This window comes from Homo sapiens, chromosome 10 (assembly GCF_000001405.40).
Source record: "Homo sapiens chromosome 10, GRCh38.p14 Primary Assembly".
Classification (NCBI taxonomy): Eukaryota; Metazoa; Chordata; class Mammalia; order Primates; family Hominidae; genus Homo; species Homo sapiens.
The window spans coordinates 31,224,089-31,247,080 of record NC_000010.11 but is presented as its reverse complement, the minus strand read 5'-3'; the positions used below and the strand labels follow the sequence as shown (position 1 = coordinate 31,247,080).

Genomic DNA, 22,992 nt, shown 5'->3' with positions numbered 1-22,992 from the left:
TATATACCCAAAGGAAAATAAATTGTTCTACCAAAAAGGCAAATGCACTCCTATGTTTATTGAGGCATATTCACAATAGCAAAGGCATGAAATCAACCTAGGTGCCCATCAATGGTGACTTCAATAAAGAAAATTTACAAATTTACATAAGTTGACATATCTAGATAAAGTTACATATACATCATGGGATACTACACAGCCATAAAAAAAGAATGAAATCATATCCTTTCCAGCAACGTGGGTGCAGCCAGAGGCCATTATCCTAAGCAAATTAAAAGGCAAACAGAAAACCAAATACCACATGTTCTCACTTATAAGTGGGAGCTGAACATTGCATTGGGTGCACATGGACATAAAGGTGGGAACGATAGATATTGGTCACTACAGGAGAGAGGAGGAAGGAGGGAGGCAAGGGAGGCCAAACTACTTATTGGGTACTGTGCTCATTACCTGGGTGATGGGTTTAGTCCTACCCCAAACCTCATCATTATGAAATATACCCTTGTAACAATCCTGCACATGTACTCCCTGAATCTAAAATACAAATTGAAATTTTCAATAAATAATAGGTATAGAGTTTCAGTTTTGCAAGATGCAAAGAGTCGGGAGGTAGATGGTAGTGATGATTGCCACCAAGTACAACATGGATGTACTTCATACCACTAAACTGTGCACTAGACAATGGTTATGATGGCAAATTTTATATGTGTATTTTACAGCAATAAAGTAAATATTTTTTCTTTCTTTCTTTCTTTCTTTTTTTTTGAGACGGAGTCTCGTTCTGTTACCCAGGCTGGAGTGTAGTGGCGAGATTTCGGCTCACTGCAAGCTCCGCCTCCTGGGTTCACACCATTCTCCTGCCTCAGCCTCCTCCGTAGCCGGGACTACAGGCGCTCGCCACCACGCCTGGCTAATTTTTTTGTATTTTTAGTAAAGACGGGGTTTCACTGTGTTTGCCAGGATGGTCTCAATCTCCTGACCTCGAGATCCTCCCGCCTCGGCCTCCCAAAGCGCTGGGATTACAGGCGTGAGCCACCGCGCCCGGCCTAAAGTAAATATTTTCAAAAGAGCAAAGGTACAAGGAGGGGCCAAGGGAGTTTAGAGTATTTGCAAGAGAGTAGTTGGAGTAATGGACCACGGAATCCGAGAGTAGTTGGGGTAATGGACCATGGAATCCAACCTGGATAGGAGGGAAGTAGAAAGTGGGGAGATGAGTGGAAGTACCACTGAAATTGCAGAAGAGAGTGCCATGGGGTTCTTGAGCAGGCACGCTGGAACAACAACAACAAACTGGTTGTAGAGGTTTGAACTGGTGAGGGTTTTGAAGTGGAGCATTATTATCCACTTGATGGGATACTACGAATGCTTTTCCATTTCAAAAGAAATATTCCATTGCATGCATTTTAATAATGTATTCCATTTTATAGATGTAACAATTTAACCAATCTCTTCTTATAATTATTATTTTAAATCATAGTGACAAAATACTGTTAGTTTTATTTCAACTAATAAATTTATGATCCTTTCAGAAATCCTCACCAAGAAGTCTCTGACCTTATTGAGACTGGTGGGAAAAAACTCCTGGGATTCCAGAAAAACTCAAGACCAAAGCTACTGACTGGTGCCCTTTCTAAGGAGAAACACAACTGTGATTTTCCTTGAGGTGGACAGCATGGAATTCCTCTGCACACTTAGTCATGTGGGGAGAGAGATCGTGTAACTGCACTTGCCCCTTAATGTATATGAATTTCTTAGTTAACGCAACAAAATTTACTGAGCAGCTTCCACGTAAAAAGAACTCTATCTGGAACTGGAAATGTAAAAATGCTCTCAAATATAGTAGGCATAATTATATGAGTACATAAATTATTATAATAGAAAGTAAATGCAGAGGCAGATTTTCCATGAAGCAAATAAAACTCGAGCATCGGTGCCCCTCACTTACATGGGCCCCTTCCAACACTCTGGGAGAGACCCTATACATATACTTATGTGGTCATGTATTCTGGTAAAATTTGCAAAAGTGAAATTTTTTTAAAAAATCTTCAGTTAAACTGCTGTCTCTTTTTCCTCTGACTTTCCCTACTGTTAGAATGGCCAAGGACATTTTTGAGGTCCAAAAAAGGCAAAGTTATTGAAGACACATTCAGTTGAGTTTATTGAAATACATGTCTGGGGCTCACAGATATTTTGCTGTCAACCAAAAAGTTATTGCACCCAGCACAGGAAGTAGGTGAGTGCTGGAGGAGACACAAGGTTTGAAGTGCATGGAGCCAGGAGCTAGTCTGTGGAACAATGCTTCTAATCAGACATATAAAACTGAACAGTGGATTTCGTTCCCATCAGTGCCTGGTCAAAACAATTCTCTGAAAAAACCCCAGAATTCTCTGACTTCAGGAATACTTTCAATAACACAGCATAAGCAGTTCCAATTATACATGCTCTATCCGTTTGTTTTCTTTTTGTTGGTAATTACACAAAATAATAGAATGTGTGGATTTCTAGGGCACAAACCTGTAGCAGTATTTCAAAGAATAAGTGCATCTGTATGTGAAGTTGTATCTTTTATTCATTCCAATTATTGACAGTAAAAAATTATGACCATTATGGAAGACTGAACTATCTTTCCATGTCCTGTACAGAAAATATTAGTTAAGTAACTGTGGTAGGTAGTTGACTAATACAAATGTTATTTGTTTAGATTGTGGAATGTCTGTTGTATCTGTTAACTTTTTCAAAACTTCGTTGTAATTTCTTTGTTGTTGTTGTTGTTGTTGTTGTTGTTCAGAAGCAGAGTCTCGCTCTGTCGCCTAGGCTAAACTGCAGTGGTGCAATCACAACTCACTTCAGCCTCGAACTCCTGGGCTCAAGTGATCCTCCCACCCCAGCCTCCTTACAAGCTAGAACTACAGATACTTTTCCAATTCTAAATAAATATTCATTTTCATGCCTAATTTTGTATTAATCACTTCCAATTATTTTCCCTAAAGAGGTCCCCCCAAATTGTTTAAGCTTCAAGCCCCACATAACTTGGATTTACCCCAGTACGAAGTAATGACTGTGATACGAGAGAAATGTAAGAGAGCTTTTGGGAGTTCTGAGAAGGAAGAAATTATTAGTTACAGAGATGATGAGGGAAAGGTTTATCTAAGTTATGATTGAGTGGAAGAACTTGAATTCAGAGATATGGCAAATGATGCTCTCAATGAAAAATGGAATTCTTCATAACATTTTAATAATTTCTCTCCCCAAATCTACTCACTCAAATACTCTATTATTGACACATTCTCATCTCTACATGCATATTTCTTTCTGTTCTCATAGATAAAAACCTTTTCTGCTGAAGTTTTGTGGCCATGGGTTCAAGCAACAAATTAGTGCAAACCTGCTGGGTGTTCAAGGAAGAGAATTTCCCAGGATGGATTCTGGGTAGGGGTTCAAACCAGGAGAAATGTAACAATTCTGTCATGTAATCCAGACCCTATTATATGAATTATGTGGCAACAAAACAAACTTTCTTCTCTGCTCTTCAATTATTGTATAATTGGTGAGCAAGAGTCGGAGAAAGTCCTATTTTTAAGTTCTATGCTGCGCTCACCTTCATTCACTCATGAGAAGGAAACAGTCATAATATTCAGAAGCCAAGCATGGTTTCTCCTATGGAGCAATGTCATCAAGGTACCTTTATACCATATCCATAACTTGTTTGGAGAGAGAATGATGTGTGTGTGTGTGTGTGTGTGTGTGTGTGTGTGTGTGTGTGTGTGTGAGAGAGAGAGAGAGAGAGAGAGAGGACAGCAACAAGGATTGACCATGTTCTGTGAAGGGTGGAGGTCCCCGAAGGAAGTGCCTGGTGCTCTGTGTCTGCAGTCATTTCCTTCCCCATCTGGGACCACTTAGTCCACTGGCAGACTCAGCCTTCCCCAGGTCTGGTGACTCAGCCTTCCCCAGGTCTGGTGGGCAGATCAAAGGGCCCTTGACATTGGATGACTCAGCACCCAGTGAGCTTACTATGAACCAAGCTGACATCAGCTGGGAGAAGACAGCATCAGGGACACAGAGGGTCAGCCCTTGGGATCTGAGAAGCAAGTCTGAGACAGGTGGAAAGAACTGAGTAGTTGCTGAGTCATGGAAGGAAGAACTGAGAGTCATAACTCCTAGAGATGGGAATGGGGGAGCAATGACTTCTGACAATGACTTTCTCCATGCAGGGGGCTGATGCTACAGGCCCTGCTGAAATGCAGCAGTGCTCTTGTCATCTGACCAGTTCTTCCCTAACCTCAGATAGAGTGACCAGCTTCTGCTTTGTGCTTATGACCAATCTCCCGGTTTCCATTCACTCCGGCCTTGGTTTTCCAGGTCCCTCCAGAATGGGGGCTGAGCCCTAGATTTCTTAAGCCATGTTACCTATGGCTAGGGTGTCCGGTATCAGCACTTCCCAGCCAGGATTGCTGTATGTCATCCTGCCAAGACTGTCATTCGGGCCCTCTGCCAACCTCCCTAGGCATCCTCCTGTAAGATTTCTGATGGGCATTTGGAATACACACACTTACCAACCCTCCCCAGGTGTGAAAGCCCATGGAAAGACTGGCATATTTGCTCCTTAATGCAATCTCCTCTTTACAACTAATCCTCCAGACAGGTTTCACAGATAAGTAAACAGAGACTGAGAAGTTGTTCCTTGTTTAGGTCACATGAATGCCTGTCTTTTCTCTGGTTTGATTCCTCTTTATTCTGCATCCATGAAACATGTTTTCCTTGTCATTCTTCAGAACTGGAGATAATAATATCCACAGGATTGTTTTGATGGTTAAATTAAATCATCAATATGAAAGTGCCTAGCACGTAAGAGATACTTAACAAATGGCAGTTTCTTTATTTCATCCTTTTCTGACCTCTGCCTAGAAAACCAGGCTCCTCTGACAGACGTTGAACTTGGTATATGTCTGGGACAGCACTGGAACACATAGTAGGTTGTAGTAAATATTGGATGAATGAAATTAGTTGGGCATGGTGGTGTGTGTATATACATATATATGTGTATGTGTGTGTGTATATATATACACATATATATATATATACACACACACATACACATATATATATATATGATGGATGAATGAATGGATAATCAATGGAAGTATTAAAATTTTATTTAGAGTTTGCAAAAACCTAAAGATCACTCTTTTCCCCCTACACTGTGCTACTCTTGACTTCCTGCTGTTTGTGTCTATCAACTGAACATCAGATCCACTCTTTTGCTGGACTTCTCTTCACCGGCAGTGGAAGATGCTTATCCTCACCTGCCCACAAGATCATGCTTTTTGTGTTTCATGTGTCTAGTCATTGAGTTCCAGGCTCTCCTCGCTTGCCTGTACCTTTACTTTCTAAGCAAAATCCTGTTATTCTGCACTAAGGAGGCTGAACACGAGAGATGTGTTTATCTGAGTGAGTGGTCTACATTTCAGTAGACTTGCTTAGGAAATGGGGGCAACATACTACTGCAGTGTGGTTAGATCTGGGCTCAGTAAGGCTACCTGCTGCTGGCTCAGCACCTTTCCAAATAATTAAGCAATTTACTGAGAGCCTGGAGTTTGGAATCATAGAAAAAAGCTTTGGAGAGAAGTACAAGTCAAAAGTCTATAGATGCTTTTCCTCTAGCCAGCAGTTCCATTAAGGAAATTTATTTTCGTGTTTTGGAAGGGTGGAGATTTTAGTTCAGTCGTGGACATATCCAGCCATTACTCAGTCCTCAGTCAGCAGATTTAAAGGAAGCTCAGAAGGAAAAACCCAGGGCCCTGGGCCATCTGTAAGACCTAAGCACAGCTGCAGCCGTTCCAGGAAGAGGATACCTAGGTCTCCGCTCCAGCTCTGGGCATCCATTAGTGATCACAAAAAAGATACCTGGTAATCAAGGCAAAAACTGCCTTCAGATTATGATCAATTTCTAAAAATTAAGCTGCTTGAAAAAGGATAAATAAGTCCATGAAAAAGGCCCTAAAGTATAGAAGGGTATAATGACCTGGAAATTCCCTGCTCCTAAAGCTCTCCTGTCCCACAGCTGGAACCATATAGTGACTATCTGGAGATTCAGCTCTGTCCCAGACTCCATGATCAATTGCATTTCTGGTCAGGGAAAATATAGAAAATCTTTAGGTATCAGTTTGGGGGCTTAGCATCAAGTCATCCCTGTGCTAGCACCTACTCTGACCTAGCATGCCTGTATGTGGTAAATGTATTCTTACCTTATGCTTTTTGATCAGGTTTTCCCTTGGGACTCAGAAGTTCCAGACCTGCATCCTTATCTTAGTCCTGAACACCTGAACTCCTCCTTGCCTCTGTATTTTCAAAATTGGAAGCTTACCGTTGTATCACAAGAACTTGTAGAATCACACTCCTCTGATGCTTGTCAAATATGTAAAGTAGATTTAGCTCCCCCAGTACTGAAATTTTCTAGGACAACTTGCTCTCAGGCATTGAATCAGCCAGGTTTTGCATCTCAACCCAGCCTCAACTCAGTCTGCCTAAATTGATGTTTGACTGCATCCTGATCATGCAAGAGTAGAGTTTAGTGGATTAACCCATCCATGTCCAAATTCTATCTGCACATAGAATCCTGAGGCATGGGTGAAAGTTGCTAAGGCAGCAGGCTATCCAGAAAGCCTTAGGGCAATCACTGAGAATGAAAGAGATAGCTACATCTTCTTCTACATCTGAATCAAAACCTGCCAATAATTCCAAGAAGCCTGGTTTACAGTATTGCATATGTTCATTCACATTAGCTGTCCAAGACCTTGGTACTTCACCACATGCTTTCATTTCAAAGACCCGGCCAATTAAGGATCTTAAACTGTTGTGAAGCAATAAAAGTTTCCCTAAACAATAACTATACAGAGGATACTTCCAAGACTGAGATTTTGTTATTTCATTTCAGGCATTCTAAATTAAGCCCTGGAGAAACATTTTCCTGCTAATGAGTAATCACTTGTTGTAATATGCATTATTGCTGAGATAATAGGCTATATCAATATCTATTCATGTTATTGTAGCTGGGAAATAAGACTTGAGAATACCACTGTTCAGTATTCTCTGTAGTGAGAAAAAAAACAAATCTTAATTTCCATACTGTCATGTTTGGTTTAAATCATCTATTCTAAAATATAGACATGTATTCACCTTCAATATAATGAATTCATTTGTTGCCCAGACACATTTTATTTTTATCAAATATCCTTCTAAAACAATCTTATATGATAGGACACAGAAGAACAAATAGCCCATGACTTATCAATTGATAAATAATACATTGAAATTTACTAAAATACAGTGTTGATGAAATCTTACCTTTTTAAAAGGGGCTTTGTATAAACTTTAAAATTCATACCTTGAAGGTTTAAAAAAATCCTAGCTCGGATTCTTATGTGTATTTTCTCCCTGCTGATCTACGTTTCAGAATGTGTTGGTTTTTTAAAAATATGAATCTTATATATATATACACCAATTTTTAACAAATACCATCAACTCTTTAGGTGGAGAGTCACAACCTCTGATTGACTTTTCTTATTTTCATTTAGTTGATGTGCAGTAATGGTACGTATTTATGGGATTCAGAGTGATATTTCAATACATGTATACAACGTGTAGCAATCAAATCAGGGTAATCAGCACATCCTCTACCTCAAGTATTTATCATTTCTTTGTGTTGTGAATATTCAGTCTTCTGTTCTAGCTTTCTGAAAAATGTGCAGTAAACTATTATCAATCAAATTCACCCTTCAGTGTTACAGAACACTAGAACTCATTCCTCCAATCTAGCTATAATTTTGTGTCTATTAACCAACCTCTCCCTATACTCTCCTACCCCTACCCTTCCCAGCCTCTAATAACCACAATTCTATTCCTCACTTTTATGAGTTCAGGATTTTTAAAAATTCAAACATGTGAGTGGGAATATTCAGTATTTATCTTTCTGCGTCTGACTTATTTCACTTAATAGAATGTCCTCCAGGCTCATCTGTGTTGCTGTGAATGACAGGATTTCATTTTTATTGCTGAATAGTATTCTATTGTGTATAGACCACATTTTCATTATGTATTCATATGTTGATGGACATTTAAGTTGATTCCATACCTTGACTATTGTTAATAGAGCTGCAATAAATATGAGGTGTAGGTATCACTTTGATATACTGATTTTCTTTTCTTTGGATAAATACCCAGCAGCGAGATTGCAGGAACAGTAGTTCTGTTTTTAGTTTCTTGAGAAATCTCCATGCTGTTTTCTGTAATGGCTGTACTAATTTATATTCCAAACAGGAGTGTATAAGAGTTCCCTTTTCTCTACATCTTCATCAATATTTGTTTTTTTGTGTGTGTGTGTCTTTTTGATGATAGCCATTCTGACTAGGATGGGGTGTTATCTTATTGTGGTTTTGATTTGCATTCCCCTTATGATTAGTGATGTTAATCATTTTCTCATACATTTATTGGCCATTTATATACATTCTTTTGAAAAATGTCTATTCAGATCCTTTGCTTATTTATTAATTGAAATATTTGGTTTTTTTGCTGTTGAGTTTTTAGAGTTTCTTTTACATTCTGGATATTACTCCCTTATTGGATGAATACTATGCAAATATTTTCTCCAATTCCACAGGTTGTTTCTTTATTCTGTTGATTTCTTACTTTGCTCTGCACCTTTTTAGTTTGGTATATTCTATTTTTGTTTTTCTTGCCTGTGCCTTTAAGTCTTACCCATAACATCTTTGCCTAGACCTACATTATGAAGTGTTTTGGCTAGGTTTTCTTTTAATATTTTTGTAGTTTCAGGTCTTACATTTAAGTCTTCAATCCATCTTGAGTTGATTTTTGTATATGGTGAGATATAGAGGTCAAGTTTCATTCTACATCATATGAATATCCAGTTTTCTCAACACCATTTATTGATGAGGGTGTCCTTTCCCCAGTGTATATTCTTGGCACCTTTGTCAACAATCAGTTGGCTATAAATACATGAACTTATTTCTGGTTCTCTCTTCTGTTCCATTGGCCTATGTGTTTTATTCCAATACCATGTTGTTTGGGTTACTAGAGCTTTGTAGTGTATTTTGAAATCAGGTGGTGTAATGCTTTTGGCTTTATTCTTTTTGCTCAGTATGGCTTTGGCTATTTGGAGACTTTTCTGGTTTAATGAAGAATTTAGAATTGTTTTTCCTATTTCTATGAAGAATATCATTGGTATTTTGATAGAAATTGTATTGAATTTGTAGATTTCTTTGAGTAGTATGGTCATTTTAACAATATTAATTCTTCCAATTCATGTACATGGAATGTCTTTCCATTTTATTTGTCCTCTTCAATTTTTTCATCAGTTGTTTTGTAGTTTTCATTGTAGTGATCTTACATCTTTTTGGTTAAATTTATTTTTAAGTATTTTATTTTATTTCTATTTTTGAGATGGAGTCTCTCTCTGTTACCAGGCTGGAGTACAGTGGCGCGATCTTGGCTCACTGCAACCTCCGCCTCCCGGGTTCAAGCGATTCTCCTGCCTCAGCCTCCCGAGTAGCTGGGACTACAGGCATATGCCACCACACCCAGCTAATTTTTGTATTTTTAGTAGAGACAGGGTTTCACTGTGTTGGCCAGGATGGTCTTGATCTCTTGACCTTGTGATCCACCTTCCTTGACCTCCCAAAGTGCTGGGATTACAGGTGTGAGCCACTGCGCCTGGCCTTGTTTCATTTTTATAGATAATGTAAATGGGATTGTTTTCTTGATTTCTTTTTCAGCTAGTTTGTTATTGTTATATAGAGACACTACCCATTTTTGCATATCGATTTTGTATCCTGCAAATTTACTGAATTCACTTATTAGTTCTAAGAGGTTTTTTTTTTTCTTTTGTGCAGTCTTTAGGTTTTTCTATCTACAAGATCATGCCATTTGCAAAGAGGGAGAACTTGACTTATTCTTTTCCAAACTGGATGTCCTTCATTGCTCTGGTAAAAACTCCCATTACTATGTTGAAAATAAGACTGGTGAAAATGGGTATTCTTGTCATATTCCAGTTCTTAGAAGAAAGACTTTCAGCTTTCCTCCATTCAGTATGATGTTAGCTGTAAGTTTGTCATATACGGCCTTTATTATGTTCAGATATTTTCTTTCTATACCTAACTTGTTGAGAGTTTTTATCATAAAGAGATGTTGAATTTTATCAAATGTTTTTTTCTGTGTCTATTCGTTGATATGATGTATCTCCTTTATTGATTTGCATATTTTGAATCATCTTTACATTTCTGAAGTACATCTCACTTTATTATCATGTGTTTCTCATTGATGTGTTGTTGGATTTAGTTTGCTATTATTTTGTTGACAATATTTGCATCTATGTTCAAAAGAGATACTGACCTACAGTTTTCTTTTTTTGTTTTGTCCTTGTCCTTTTTTTGTATAAGGCTGGCCTCATAGAATGAGTTAGAAAAAATTCTTTTCTCTTCAATTTTTGGGAATAGTTTAAAAATAATTGGAGTTTATTCTTTAAATGTTTGGTAGAATTTGACAGTAAAGTCATCTGCTCTTGGGCTTTTTTTTTTCGGTTGGGAAATTTTTATTGCTGTTTTAATCTCATTCCTTACTATTGGTCTGTTCAGGTTTTCTGTTTCTTCATGGTTCAATCTTGGTAGGTTATATGTGTTCAGGAATTAATCCATTTCCTCTAGGTTTTCTAATTTGTTGGTGCACAGGTAGTCATAATAGTCTCTAACGATTCTTTGTATTTCTGTGGTGTCCGTTGTAATATCTCCTTTTTTCATTGCTGATTTTATTTATTTAAATCTTCTCTCTTTTTCTTAGTCTAGCTAATGGTTTGTCAATTTTGTTCATCTTTTCAAAAAACCAAATTTTCATTGATGTTTTATATTTTTTAGTCTCTATTTCATTTAGCTCTGCTCTGATCTTTATCATTTATTTTCGTCTACTAATTTTGGATTTGTTTTGTTCTTGCTTTTCTAGTTCCTTGAGTTATATCATTAGGTTGTTTTTAAAAATAATATTTTCTTTTTTTGATATAGACATTTATGGCTATAAACTTCCCTCTTGGTACTGTTTTTACTGTTCACAGGTTTTTGTTTGTTGTGTTTCCATTTTCACTTGTTTTAAGACTTTTTATATTTCCTTTTTAATTTATCCACTGACTCAATGATCACTCAGGAGCATGTTATTCAATTTTTTTTGTATTTGTAAAGTTTCTAAATGTTTCTTTTGTTATTGAAATCTAGTTTCATTCCATTGTGGTCTGAGAAGATACTGGATATGATTTCAATTTTTAAATATTTGCCGATATTTCTTTTGTGGCCCAATATATGGTCAGTCATGGAGAATGTTCCATGAGCTGACAAGAAAAAAGAAGACTATAGTTTCAATGTGCATTCTGCAGCTGTTTAATAAAATGTTCTGTAAATGTCTGTTAGGTCTATAATGCAGTTTAAGTTTGATGCTTCTTTGTTGATTTTCTGTCTAGATGATTCTGTTTAATACTGAAAGTGTGGTACTAAAGTCCCCAACTATTATTGTATTGGGATCGATCTCTCTCTTTAGCTCTAAAATATTTGCTTTATATATCTAAGTGCTCTGGTGTTGGGTGCATACATATTTAAAATTGTTATATCCTCTTGCTAAATTGATCCTTTTATAATTATATAATGACCCCTCTTTACCTCTTTTTATGCTTACTGACTTAAAGTTTATTTTGGCTGATATAAGTACGACTGCTCTTTCATATTTTTATTTGTGTGGATTTTCCTTTTCTATCTCTTTACTTTCAATCTATTTGTGTTCTTACTGGTTAAATGGTTTCTTTAGGTGGAATATAGTTGGGCCTTGTTCTTCAGCCATTCAACCAGTCTATATATTTTAATTGAAGAATTTAAATTATTTACATTCAAGATTTTTATTGATAGATGAGAACTCACTCCTGTCATTTTGTCAATTGGTTTGTGATTGTTTTGTGTTTCTTTTCTTCCTCTTTTATTGTTTATCTTTGCAATTTGGTGGTTTTCTGTAGTGATGAAATTTGGTTCTTTTCTCTTTCCCATTTGTGTGTCTGCTCTGTCTGTGAGTTTTATACTTTTGAGTATTTTCACAATGGTAGATATTATTCTTTTGCTTCTAGATGTAGAAATCCCTTGAGCATTTCTTGTAGGGTTGGTCTAGTGATGATGTAACTCATCAGTTTTTGTTTGTCTGGTAAAGACTATATTTCTTTTATTTCTGAAGGATAGTTTTGTTGGTTGTAGCATTCTTGGCTGGCAGGTTTTTTTTCTTTCAGCACTCTGAGTGTATCATTCTAATCTCTCCTGGCCTCTAAGGTTTCTGCTGAGAAGTCTGTTGTTAGTCTGATGGAGATTCCCTTATGTGTGACATGACACTGTTCTTCAGCTGTTTTTAAAATTCTGTCTTTGTTTTTGACTCTTGATAATTGGAATGCAACGTCCCTCAGAGATGACATTTTGGGAGTTGAATCTATTTGGGGATCTTTGGGCTTCCTGCATCTGGATATCCATATTTTTTCCAAGACTTGGCAAGTTTTCAGCTATTATTTTGTTAAATAGGGTTTCTGTGACTTTTTCCATCTCTTTTTCTTCCGGAACTCCCCAAATTTGAGTATGTATTCACTTATGGTGTCCCATATGTCACATAGACTTTTTCCATTCTTTTTTATTCTTTTTTCTTTTTGTGTCTTTCTGATTGGGTTATTTCAAAAGACATGTCTTCAACTTCAGAAATTCTTTCTTGTGCTTGATTAAGTCTATTGCTAAAGCTCTCAATTGTAGTTTTTACTTCATTCATTAAATCCTTTAGTTGCCACATTTCTGTTTGGTTCTTTTTTATGATATTTATTGCTTTGTTGAATTTCTCATTCAGATCAGGAATTGGCTTCTTTATTTCTTTGTATTGTCTACGTACATTCTTTGTATCTCACTGAATTTCATTAAAATCATCATTTTGAATTCCTTTTCACATACCACATAGATTTCCTTTACTTTGGGATCTGTTACCAGAGAATTATTGTGTTTATTTGGAGGTGTTGTGTTTCTCTCCTTTTTCATGTTTCTTGTGTCCTTATGTTGATATCTGTGCATCTGGTATAACAATTGATTGACTGAATTTTATGGAGCAGCTTTCACAAAGAATTTCCCATAGATGTATCTATAGTGTTGGCTGGGTAGGGTACCATCTCTGGTTTTGAGTGGCACTGTAGTGTAACCTCCATGCATGTGATTTCTTCAGCTATAATGAACATCAGTAGTGTCTGCAAGTTTCTCAGTGGCTTAGGCTGCAGTATTTTGTGCAGGCTGCAGTGTAGCTTTACCAGGGACTGGGATGCTAGGTGGACCAGTCCTCTGGGCCCTAAGTGGCTCACATGGACCTCAGTGGTGGCGGCAGTGTGCCCTGGATGGGCCAGTCCTCTTTTCCCTGTGTAGGGTACATGGGCTTCATCTGTGGTGATGGCTGTCTGTGAAGGATGATCCTTGGGACTTTGGATGGTGCACACCAGCACTGCTGGTGGCAACAACAGCCTCCACAGGCTGGGTGGCCAATCCGTAAGCCCCTGGGTGGCATGTGTTGGTATTGGCAGCAGGCTCGCTGAGCTAGTAGGGCTAATACTTGGGGCCCCAAGTGGTTGGAGGCACCTGCGTTAGTGGTCATAGCCTGAGCAAATTAAGTTTTGACTTCCTGGGTAGCACATGCAGGCATATAGTGGCCCTGTTACTGGAAAGGGAGGGGTCACTGTCACTGGTGGCAGTCCAGGGACAGTGACTCTCAGGCTCCAGAGAGTGCATGCTTCAGTTCTCTATGTCCTGGGGACAGGCTGCCTTATGTGCTGAACTGCCTGTTCCTCCATGTATGGAGTACTGTATGTGCTTGGGTACGGGGGGTATGGCCGCATCACTGGTTCTAGCTAGCTTTATGACACTGCAGCCCTCTGAGTGATTGTAGGGTGATGTCAGTGGGATCCCAGGGATGTGGAAGTGTAGGGATTTTTGCATCAGGATGAGATGCAGTATGATGTTGGCTCTATTATCAAAATGATGCTGTGCAGCAGCAGCTTGAATCCTAGTGGGTGGGTGGGACCCAGCATCAATTCCCTCTCTGGGAAAATGTAGTTGTGTGAACTCCAGGAAACTCACCATACTAGGCTTAGGGCCTGTGAGGGCCTAGGGGCTCTCCTGTAGCTAGGATTGCAGGTATCTGTGGTGGGAATGTGGACTGTGGGGGATCTCTGGCTTATTGTTTCCCCACAATGGGGAATCTGTCCATGCTTTGATGCTCCAAGCTGATCCTAGCCAGCTTCACTTCCCTCTCTGTGCTGCCATCTTGAGTTTCTGTGCCTCAGAGGGTCTCTCTTATTTCTCTTCTGAATTCCAGTGTTCATCCTTATATATTCTATTCAACATGTGGTTATCTGCTTCCTGTAAGTCATTTAATGAATCTTAAGGAATACAGAGCAAATTCAGGAAACTAAGCAGAGGCAACTGAAATGCAGAATGGAATTTTCGGCAGTCTCTTGGTCCTTGGGGGACAAAAGTTGGGTTTCAGAAACCCTCAAAGGAGTCAGGGGAGGTAGTGAATACCCAAGCTGTCAGTTGAGATCCCTGGAGGCTATAACACCCTGGAGGCTACATCACCATGGAGACAAACTAATCTTTATAAACATTATGACCCTGGTAACTACTGTTCTACTCTCTACTTCTATGAGATCAATTTTTTAAGATTCCGTGTATGAGTGAGATCATGTGATATTTGTCTTTCTCTGCCTGGCTTATTTCACTTAACATAATGTCCTCCACGCTCACCATGTTGTGACAAATAACAAGATTTTGTCCTTTTTTATGGATATGCTAATTACCATGACTTGATTATTACCAGTGTATACGTGTACCAAAACATCACACTGTACCCCATAAATATGCACAGTTACTATATGTCAATTTACAAAAAGATTACAACTCTACCTTAAGTTAACTGAATTTGTTATTGGCTCCAACCAATCCGACTCCATTCTAGATGCCTCACAGAAGATCAATAAATTCTCACTAGAGAATAATGACAGCATCCAAAGCCATCAGTTTTTAACATCAAGATGTCCTCATTAAAAAATAATGCCATTTTTCAACAGGAATGCTTCCAGCTTTTGTCCATTCAATATGATATTGGCTGTGGGTTTGTCATAAATAGCTCTTATTATTTTCAGATATATTCAATCAATACCTAGTTTATTGAGTGTTTTAACATGAAGGGACATTGAATTTTGTCAAAGGCCTTTTCAGCATCTATTGAGATAATCATGTGGTTTTGTTTAAGTGATGGATTATGTTTATTGATTTGCATATGTTGAACCAGCCCTGCACCCCATGGATGAATCTGACTTGATCATGGTGGATAAATGTTTTGATGTGTCACTGGATTCAGTTTGCCAGTAATTTATTGAGGATTTTCATATCTATATTCATCGGGGATATTGGCCTGAAGTTTTCTTTTTTGTTGTGTTTCTGCTGGGTTTTGGTATCAGGATGATGCTGGCTTCATAAAATGAGTTAGGAAGGAGTCCCTTCTTTCCAATTGTTTGGAATAGTTTCAGAAGGAATGGTACCAGCTCTTCTTTGTATCTCTGGTGGAATTTGGCTGTGAATCCATTTGGTCCTGGGCATTTTTTTATTAGTAGGCTATTAATTACTGCCTCAATTTCAGAACTTGTTATTGGTCTATTGAGGGATTTGATTTCTTCCTGGTTTAGTCTTGGGAGTGTGTATGTGTCTAGGAATTTATCTGTTTCTTCTAAATTTTCTAGTTTATTTGCGTAGACGTGTTTACAGTGTTCTCTGATGGTAGTTTATATTTCTTTGGGGCCAGAGGTAATATCCCCTTTATCATTTTTTATTGTGTCTATTTGACTCTTCTCTCTTTTCTTCTTTATTAGTCTAGCTAGAAGTCTATCTATTTTGTTAATTTTTTCAAAAAACCAGCTCGTGGATTCATTCATTTTTTGAGGGTTTTTCATGTCTCTATCTGCTTCAATTCTGCTCTGATCTTAGTTGTTTCTCGTCTTCTGTTAGCTTTTGGATTAGTTTGCCCTTGCTTCTCTGGCTCGTTTAATTGTGATGTTAGGGCATCAGTTTGAAATCTTTCTAGCTTTATGTGGGCATTTAGTGCAATAAATTTCCCTCTTAACACTACTTTCGCTGTGTCCCAGAGATTCTGGTACGTTGTCTCTTTGTTCTCATTGCTTCAAAGAACTTCTTGATTTCTGGAAGCATTCCCTTTGAAAACCAGTACAAGACAAGGATGCTCTCTCTCACCACTCCTATTCAATATAGTATTGGAAGTTCTGGCCAGGGCAATCAGGCAAGAGAAAGAAATAAAAAGTATTCAAATAGGAAGACAGGAAGTAAAATTGTCTCTGTTTGCAGATGACATGATTCTATATTTAGAAAACCCCATCCTTTCAGCCCAGAAACTCCTTAAGCTGGGAAGCAACTTCAGCAAAGTCTCAGGATACAAAATCAATGTGCAAAAATCACAAGCATTCCTTTACAAAAACAATAAACAAGCAGAGAGCCAAATTATGCATGAACTCCCATTCGCAATTGCTACAAAGAGAATAAAATACCTAGGAATTCAGCTAACAAAAGATGTGAAGGACCTCTTCAAGGAGAACTACAAACCACTGCTAAAGGAAATAAGAGAGGACACAAACAAATGAAAAAACATTCTATCCTCATGGATAGGAGGACTCAATATCATAAAAATGGCCATACTGCCCAAAGTAATTTATAGATTCAATGCTATTCTCACCAAACTACCATTGACATTCTCGACAGAATTAGAAAAAAATACTTGAAATTTCATGTGGAATCAAAGACGACCCCGTATAGCCAAGACGATCCTAAGCAAAAAGAACAAAGCTGGAGACATCATGCTACCTGACTTCAAACTATACTACAAGGCTACAGTAACCAAAACAGCATAGTACTGATACCAAAACAGACATATAGACCAATGGAACAGAACAGAGACCGCAGAAATAGCACCACACGTCTACAACCATCTGATCTTTGACAAACCTGACAAAAACAAGCAATGGGGAAAGGATCTCCTATTCAATAAGTGGTGCTGGGAAAACTGGCTAGCCATATGCAGAAAACTGAAACTGGACCCTTTCCTTATACCTTATACAAAAATTAACTCAAGATGGATTAAAGTCTTAAATGTAAAACCCCAAACCATAAAAACTCTAGAAGAAAACCTAGGCAATACTATTCAGGACATAGGCATGGGCAAAGACCTCATGAAAACACTGAAAGCAATTGCAACAAAAGCCAAAATTGACAAATGGGATCTAATTAAACTAAAGAGCTTCTGCACAGCAAAAGAAACTATCATCAGAGTGATCAGGTAACCTACAGAATGGGAGAAAACTTTTGCAATCTACCCATCTGACAAAGGTCTAATATCCAGAATCTACAAGGAACTTAAACAAATTTACCAGAAAAAAATAAACAGCCTCGTCAAAAAGTGGGCAAAGTATATGAACAGACATTCCTCAAAAGAAGACATTCACATGGCCAACAAATATATGAAAAAATGCTCAACATCACTGATCATTAGAGAAATGCAGATCAAAACCACCATGAGATACCATCAGAATGAGATGCCATGAGATACCATGAGAATACCACGCCATACAGAATGGCAATTATTAAAAAGTCAAGAAACAATAGATGCTGGCAAGTCTGTAGAGAAACAGGAATGCTTTTACACTGTTGGTGGGAATGTAAATTAGTTCAACCGTTGTGGAAGACAGTATGGTGATTCCTTAAGGATCTAGAAACAGAAACACCATTTCTCCCAACAATCCTATTACTGGGTATATACCCAAAGGAATATAAATCATTCTACTATAAAGACACATGAACACGTATGTTTATTGTGGCACTATTTACAATAGCAAAGACATGGAACCAACATAAATGCCCATCAATGACAGACTGGATAAAGAAAATGTGGTAAATATACACCACGGAATACTATGCAGCCATGAAAAGGAATGAGATCATGTCCTTTGAAGGGACATGGATGTAGCTAGAGGCCATCATCCTCAGCAAACTAACACAGAAACAGAAAACCAAACACTGAATGTTCTTACTCATAGGTGGTAGTCGAACAATGAGAACATAGGGACACAGGGAAGGGAACATCACACACCAGGGCCCATTGTGGGGTAGGGGGGCGAGGGGAGGTAACTTAGAGGATGGGTCAATAGATGCAGCAAACCACCAGGGCACATGTATACCTATGTAACAAAGCTGCATATTCTGCACATGTGTGCCAGAATTTAAAGTAAAATGAAATAAGAATAAGTAAAAAAGGAATAGCTAAAAATAAAGATAATAATAATAATACCAGGCATACCAAAAAAATAGGACACATTCATGACTTAGATATCAGGGTTATCAGACATGTACTTTAAAATAATGTATTATGAAATTGGCCAGGCATGGTGGCTCACACCTGTAATCCCAGCACTTTGGGAGGCCAAGGCGAGCAGATCACCTGAGGTCAGGAGTTCCAGACCAGCCTGGGCAACATGTTGAAACCGTGTCTGTACTAAAAATACAAAAATTAGCCAGGCATGGTGGTGGGTGCCTGTAATCCCAGCTACTTGGGAGGCTGAGGCAGGAGAATCACTTGAACAAGAGAGGCAGAGGTTGCAGTGAGCCGAGATCGCACCACGGCACTCCAGCCTGGGTGACAAAAGCCAGACTCCTTCTCAAAAAAAAAAAAATTAAAATCAATATGGAAAAATGTATTGGACTATTAAATCTAAAAGAAAATCAAATAAAAATTCAAAAACTAAAAAATATGATAAGCTGTAACTAGATGTACTTTATCATAAATACAACTGAAGAAGGAATTAGTAAATTGGAAGTTGTATTAGTAGAAAATAACCAGATTTGAGCACAGAGAACAAGAAGAGTAGAAATGCAGTGTAAAAACCATATGGGGCATGTTCAGAAGGTCCTTCCAGAATGACAGGGGGTGGGGAAATGAGATAAATGCAGTATTGAAATAATAATAAACATGTTTCCAAAGCCAACAAAACAAGCCACAAATTTAAGAAATACTAAAAGCTTTAAGTAGGATAAACATTTACCCACCCATCCCCCAACCCCATTCCACCCCTGCATGTTACATTATAGTAAAAGTTGGATTTATTCTAGGAATGCAAGGTTGATTTAACATTATAAAAATCAGCAAAATGCAATTCATCATTGTAATTGAGTATAAGAGAAAAATTACTGTCATCTCAATAGATGCAGTAAAAGCGTTGGATAAAATTTAAACCTCAATAATGGTTAAAAAGGGAAATAATTTAGCAAAGTAGATATAGAAGGGAAGTTCCTTAGTTGGATGTACAAGCATGTACAAAAAACTTAGAGCAAGCATTATACCTAAGTTTGGCATATCAAAAGTTTTCCTTTTCAGATCAAAAATGAGACAAAGATACTTAATATCTCTACTTTTATTTAACATTGTAATGGGAGTCTTAGCCAGCACAATAAAGCAAAAAGATAGAATGACTAGAATGGAAGAAATAAAACTGCCATTAGACTTAGAATATTCAAAATAATCTACACACTGTTATTTGTTGTGAACATAGTAAGGACATTAGATTAAAAAATCAATATGAATTTTTTTGTATTTCTATATACTAGTGACAAAGAATCTTAAAATAAAAATTTAAGTATACTGCTTATAATGGCATCAAAAAAATCAAATATCAAGGAATACATCTAACAAAAAATATGCAAGACTTCTATGGAGAAAATTTAAAAATATTATGGAAGCAAATTAAAGAGAACTAAATAAAGTTTGCCACACTCTAGATTGAAAGACTAATATTATTAAGATGTGACATCTCCACAAGTTGATCTATAGAGTAAATGCATCTCAATTAAGATCTCAACAAACATTTTTTGGGGAGGATGTGAAAATCAATAAGCTGATTCTAAAATTTTTATGGGATATAAAATTCCAGAAATGCTCAAGATGATCTTGAAGAAAAGCTAATTTGAAATATTTACACTACCATATGTCAAGACTAATTATAAGACTACAGTAATGAAGTTAGTGTGCTATGTGCACAAGGAGAGACATACTGATCAATGAAGCATAATAGAAAGTCCAGAAACAGACCCAAACAAACATACAGTACTTTGATTTATGACAAAGATGACACTGAAGTGCAATGAGGAAAAGATCTTTTCATTTAGTGGTACTGGATCAATTGAATATCCATATTGTAAAAAGAAATTATACTCAAAATGAATTACAGGCAGATTATATATCTAAACATAAAAGGCAAAACCAATAAACTTCTGGAATAAAACAGAAGAAAAGTCCTCATGTTTTTGGGGTATGTAAAGACTTTAAAAGTTCTAAATGTAGTGATAAATAGAACACAAGCAAGCAAACAAACATACAAACAAATCATCATCAATAAATAAGACTATAAAAAATTAAGAAATTTTGTCTAATGACAACATGAAGAGAATGAAAAGACAAGCCAAGAAGGCAGAAGATAATTTTTGTAATACTATAACCTATCATGGACACATAACTAAAATGTGTAAAGAACTCGCACCATAAAAGAGACATAACCAATAAAGAAATGGACAAAATATGTAAACACAGGCTTCAAAAAAGAGATCCAAATGGCAAGTAAATATGTGAACAGATGCCCCAAATTATTAGTTATCAGGTAAATGCAAATTTAAATCATAAGATACCATTATATATCCACCAGCATTTTACCTCTTGAAAAGATTAATTAAATTGATAAATATCTAGCAAGATTGATTTAAAAAATAGACATTAGCCATTGCCATATGAAAAAGGAGACATCGCTACAGATATTCCAGACATTAAAATTAGTATTTCATTGTGAAAAAACTTGTCCCCAAAATTTTGATAATAGAGATATCTCAGCACTTTGGGAGGCCGAGGCAGGCGGATCACCTGAGGTCAGGGGTTCGAGACCAGCCTGGCCAACATGGTGAAACCCCGTCTGCACTAAAAATACAAAAATTAGCTGGGCATGGTGGCACATGCCTGTAATCCCAGCTACTCGGGAGGCTGAGAAGGGAGAATTGCTTGAACCCAGGAGGTGGAGGTTGCAGTGAGCTGAGATCGCACCATTGCACTCCAGCCTGGGCAACAGAGCAAGGCTCTGTCTCAAAAAAAAAAAAAAGATTTCTAGAAAACTACAACTTTTCAAAAACTCACCTGAGAAGAAACAGAAAATTAGAATAGTCTTGTAGTTTCTAAAGATATTGAAACAGTAATTTAAATTTGTCCCATAAACAAAACCATGTCCATATGGCATCAACACTATATTCAATCAAGCATTTATTATTATTTTGAACAATTAATAGATTAAGAAAGAATCCACTTGATCTTACTTGGTCCTAGCACATTCTCTTTTAAGGAAAATGGTATTGCGTTTTTGGAACAAGAGAGAAGAAATTTAACCCTAGAATGAAGAAGAATTATATAGCCATGATAATACTAACATTGTTTGTTGACTTCCCGTATTAGAATCAATCTATAGGCAAGCCTTGAAATACTTAACTGTGCATAGAGGCAAAATGTACATAACATGTTTTGACAATATGAAATAAGATCTATAAAAGGTAGAAGGTTAAAATTCATAGCAAAGGGTAGTGGCAGTAATATTCTCATATTGCAAAATAGGGCATCAAGATACACTGTTAAAAACTGATGGAACAGGAAAAAGAAGTTTAGATACTGTATAGCATTTTAAATCACAAAGATAACCAAAAGAGGAACAAAAACAGCAATAAAACTATCAAATATTGAGGGATGAAGAAAAGGAGATAAAATAGTACAAATGTGCTAAGTCTTTACTAGTCATAAATTGAATTTATCTATTGAATTCATTGGCAGGAATTCAATAGATAATGACTAAGGCCATATTTTATTATTTAACTAGATAGAGTTAATATCAGAAAAAAATAAAAACAGAAATGGTTAAAATTGTTTCCGGTGAACAGGACTATGGGTAGGAAAGGAAATATTGGAGGGAGAGGGGAGTCAATTTTTATTATAAACATAGTCTCTACTATTTGATTTTTAAAAATGTGCACCTATATTACAATAAAATGTTTTTAATTAAAAAACACAGCTAGACTTGCATGAGAATAAATGGATAAGTACACTAAAATAACCCTAGTTTATGTCAAAATCTAGTATATGAAGAAAAATCACAAAGAAGAAGAGAAGGAATTTTTAAATAAATGAGTCTGGAACAATTTTTATCAACTGAATATGCTCAGTTCACACCATGATCCCAAACAATTTCAGGTGATTAATGAAACAAAGGTGACAATGAAACCATGAAAAGCTAGATGAAAACAAAGTGATTGTTTTCTCCTTCTTGGAGAAGGAATTTCCAAGCATAGAAGCAATGAAAAATAATTCAAGGGAAATAATTAACAACATAAAGTTTGAAAGCCTTGCTATTGGAAAAATAAGCCTAAATTGGATTAAAGGAAATAAGTAATTGTGCGGAAACAGTTGCAATAATAAGGAAAAAGTTTACTACCTTGATAATATACTAATGTGTATTAATAATAAAAATATATAAAGAAATTACTTTGTCTGTAAAATTTAAGAGAATATTTAAAATAGAAACTATGCAGTGCCTATGAGGATTGAATAAAATAGAGACTTTCATATAATGCTGGTAAGCTCAGCTAGAAACTTTTAAGAAAGCAAATTGTCAATATGTGTTTTGAACTCAAGAAGATCTATAATTTTTAACCTATGAATTTCATGTCTGAAAGTCAGTCTTAAGGAAAAAATCAGAAATTCTGATAAAGATTTATACATTTTTTTTAAAAAAATCAAAATGTT

The 22,992-nt window shown here is 36.8% G+C and overlaps 1 long non-coding RNA gene across 1 annotated transcript in view, besides 1 other annotated feature; it reads right to left on the bottom strand.

The window, feature by feature from the left end:
- LINC02664 (long intergenic non-protein coding RNA 2664) overlaps positions 1 to 22,992 on the bottom strand; it is a 73,670-nt gene that overhangs the window by 14,472 nt on the left and 36,206 nt on the right. The gene's annotated exons all lie outside the window — the stretch shown is intronic.
- Positions 3,223 to 4,422: an enhancer, noted in NCBI's record as "P300/CBP strongly-dependent group 1 enhancer chr10:31531588-31532787 (GRCh37/hg19 assembly coordinates)". NCBI's record gives its function as "activates an origin of replication core promoter dependent on BRD2, BRD4, P300/CBP, MED14 and CDK7 cofactors, with strong dependence on P300/CBP, by STARR-seq in HCT116 cells {active_cell/tissue: HCT116}" and the evidence as "EXISTENCE:reporter gene assay evidence [ECO:0000049][PMID:35650434]".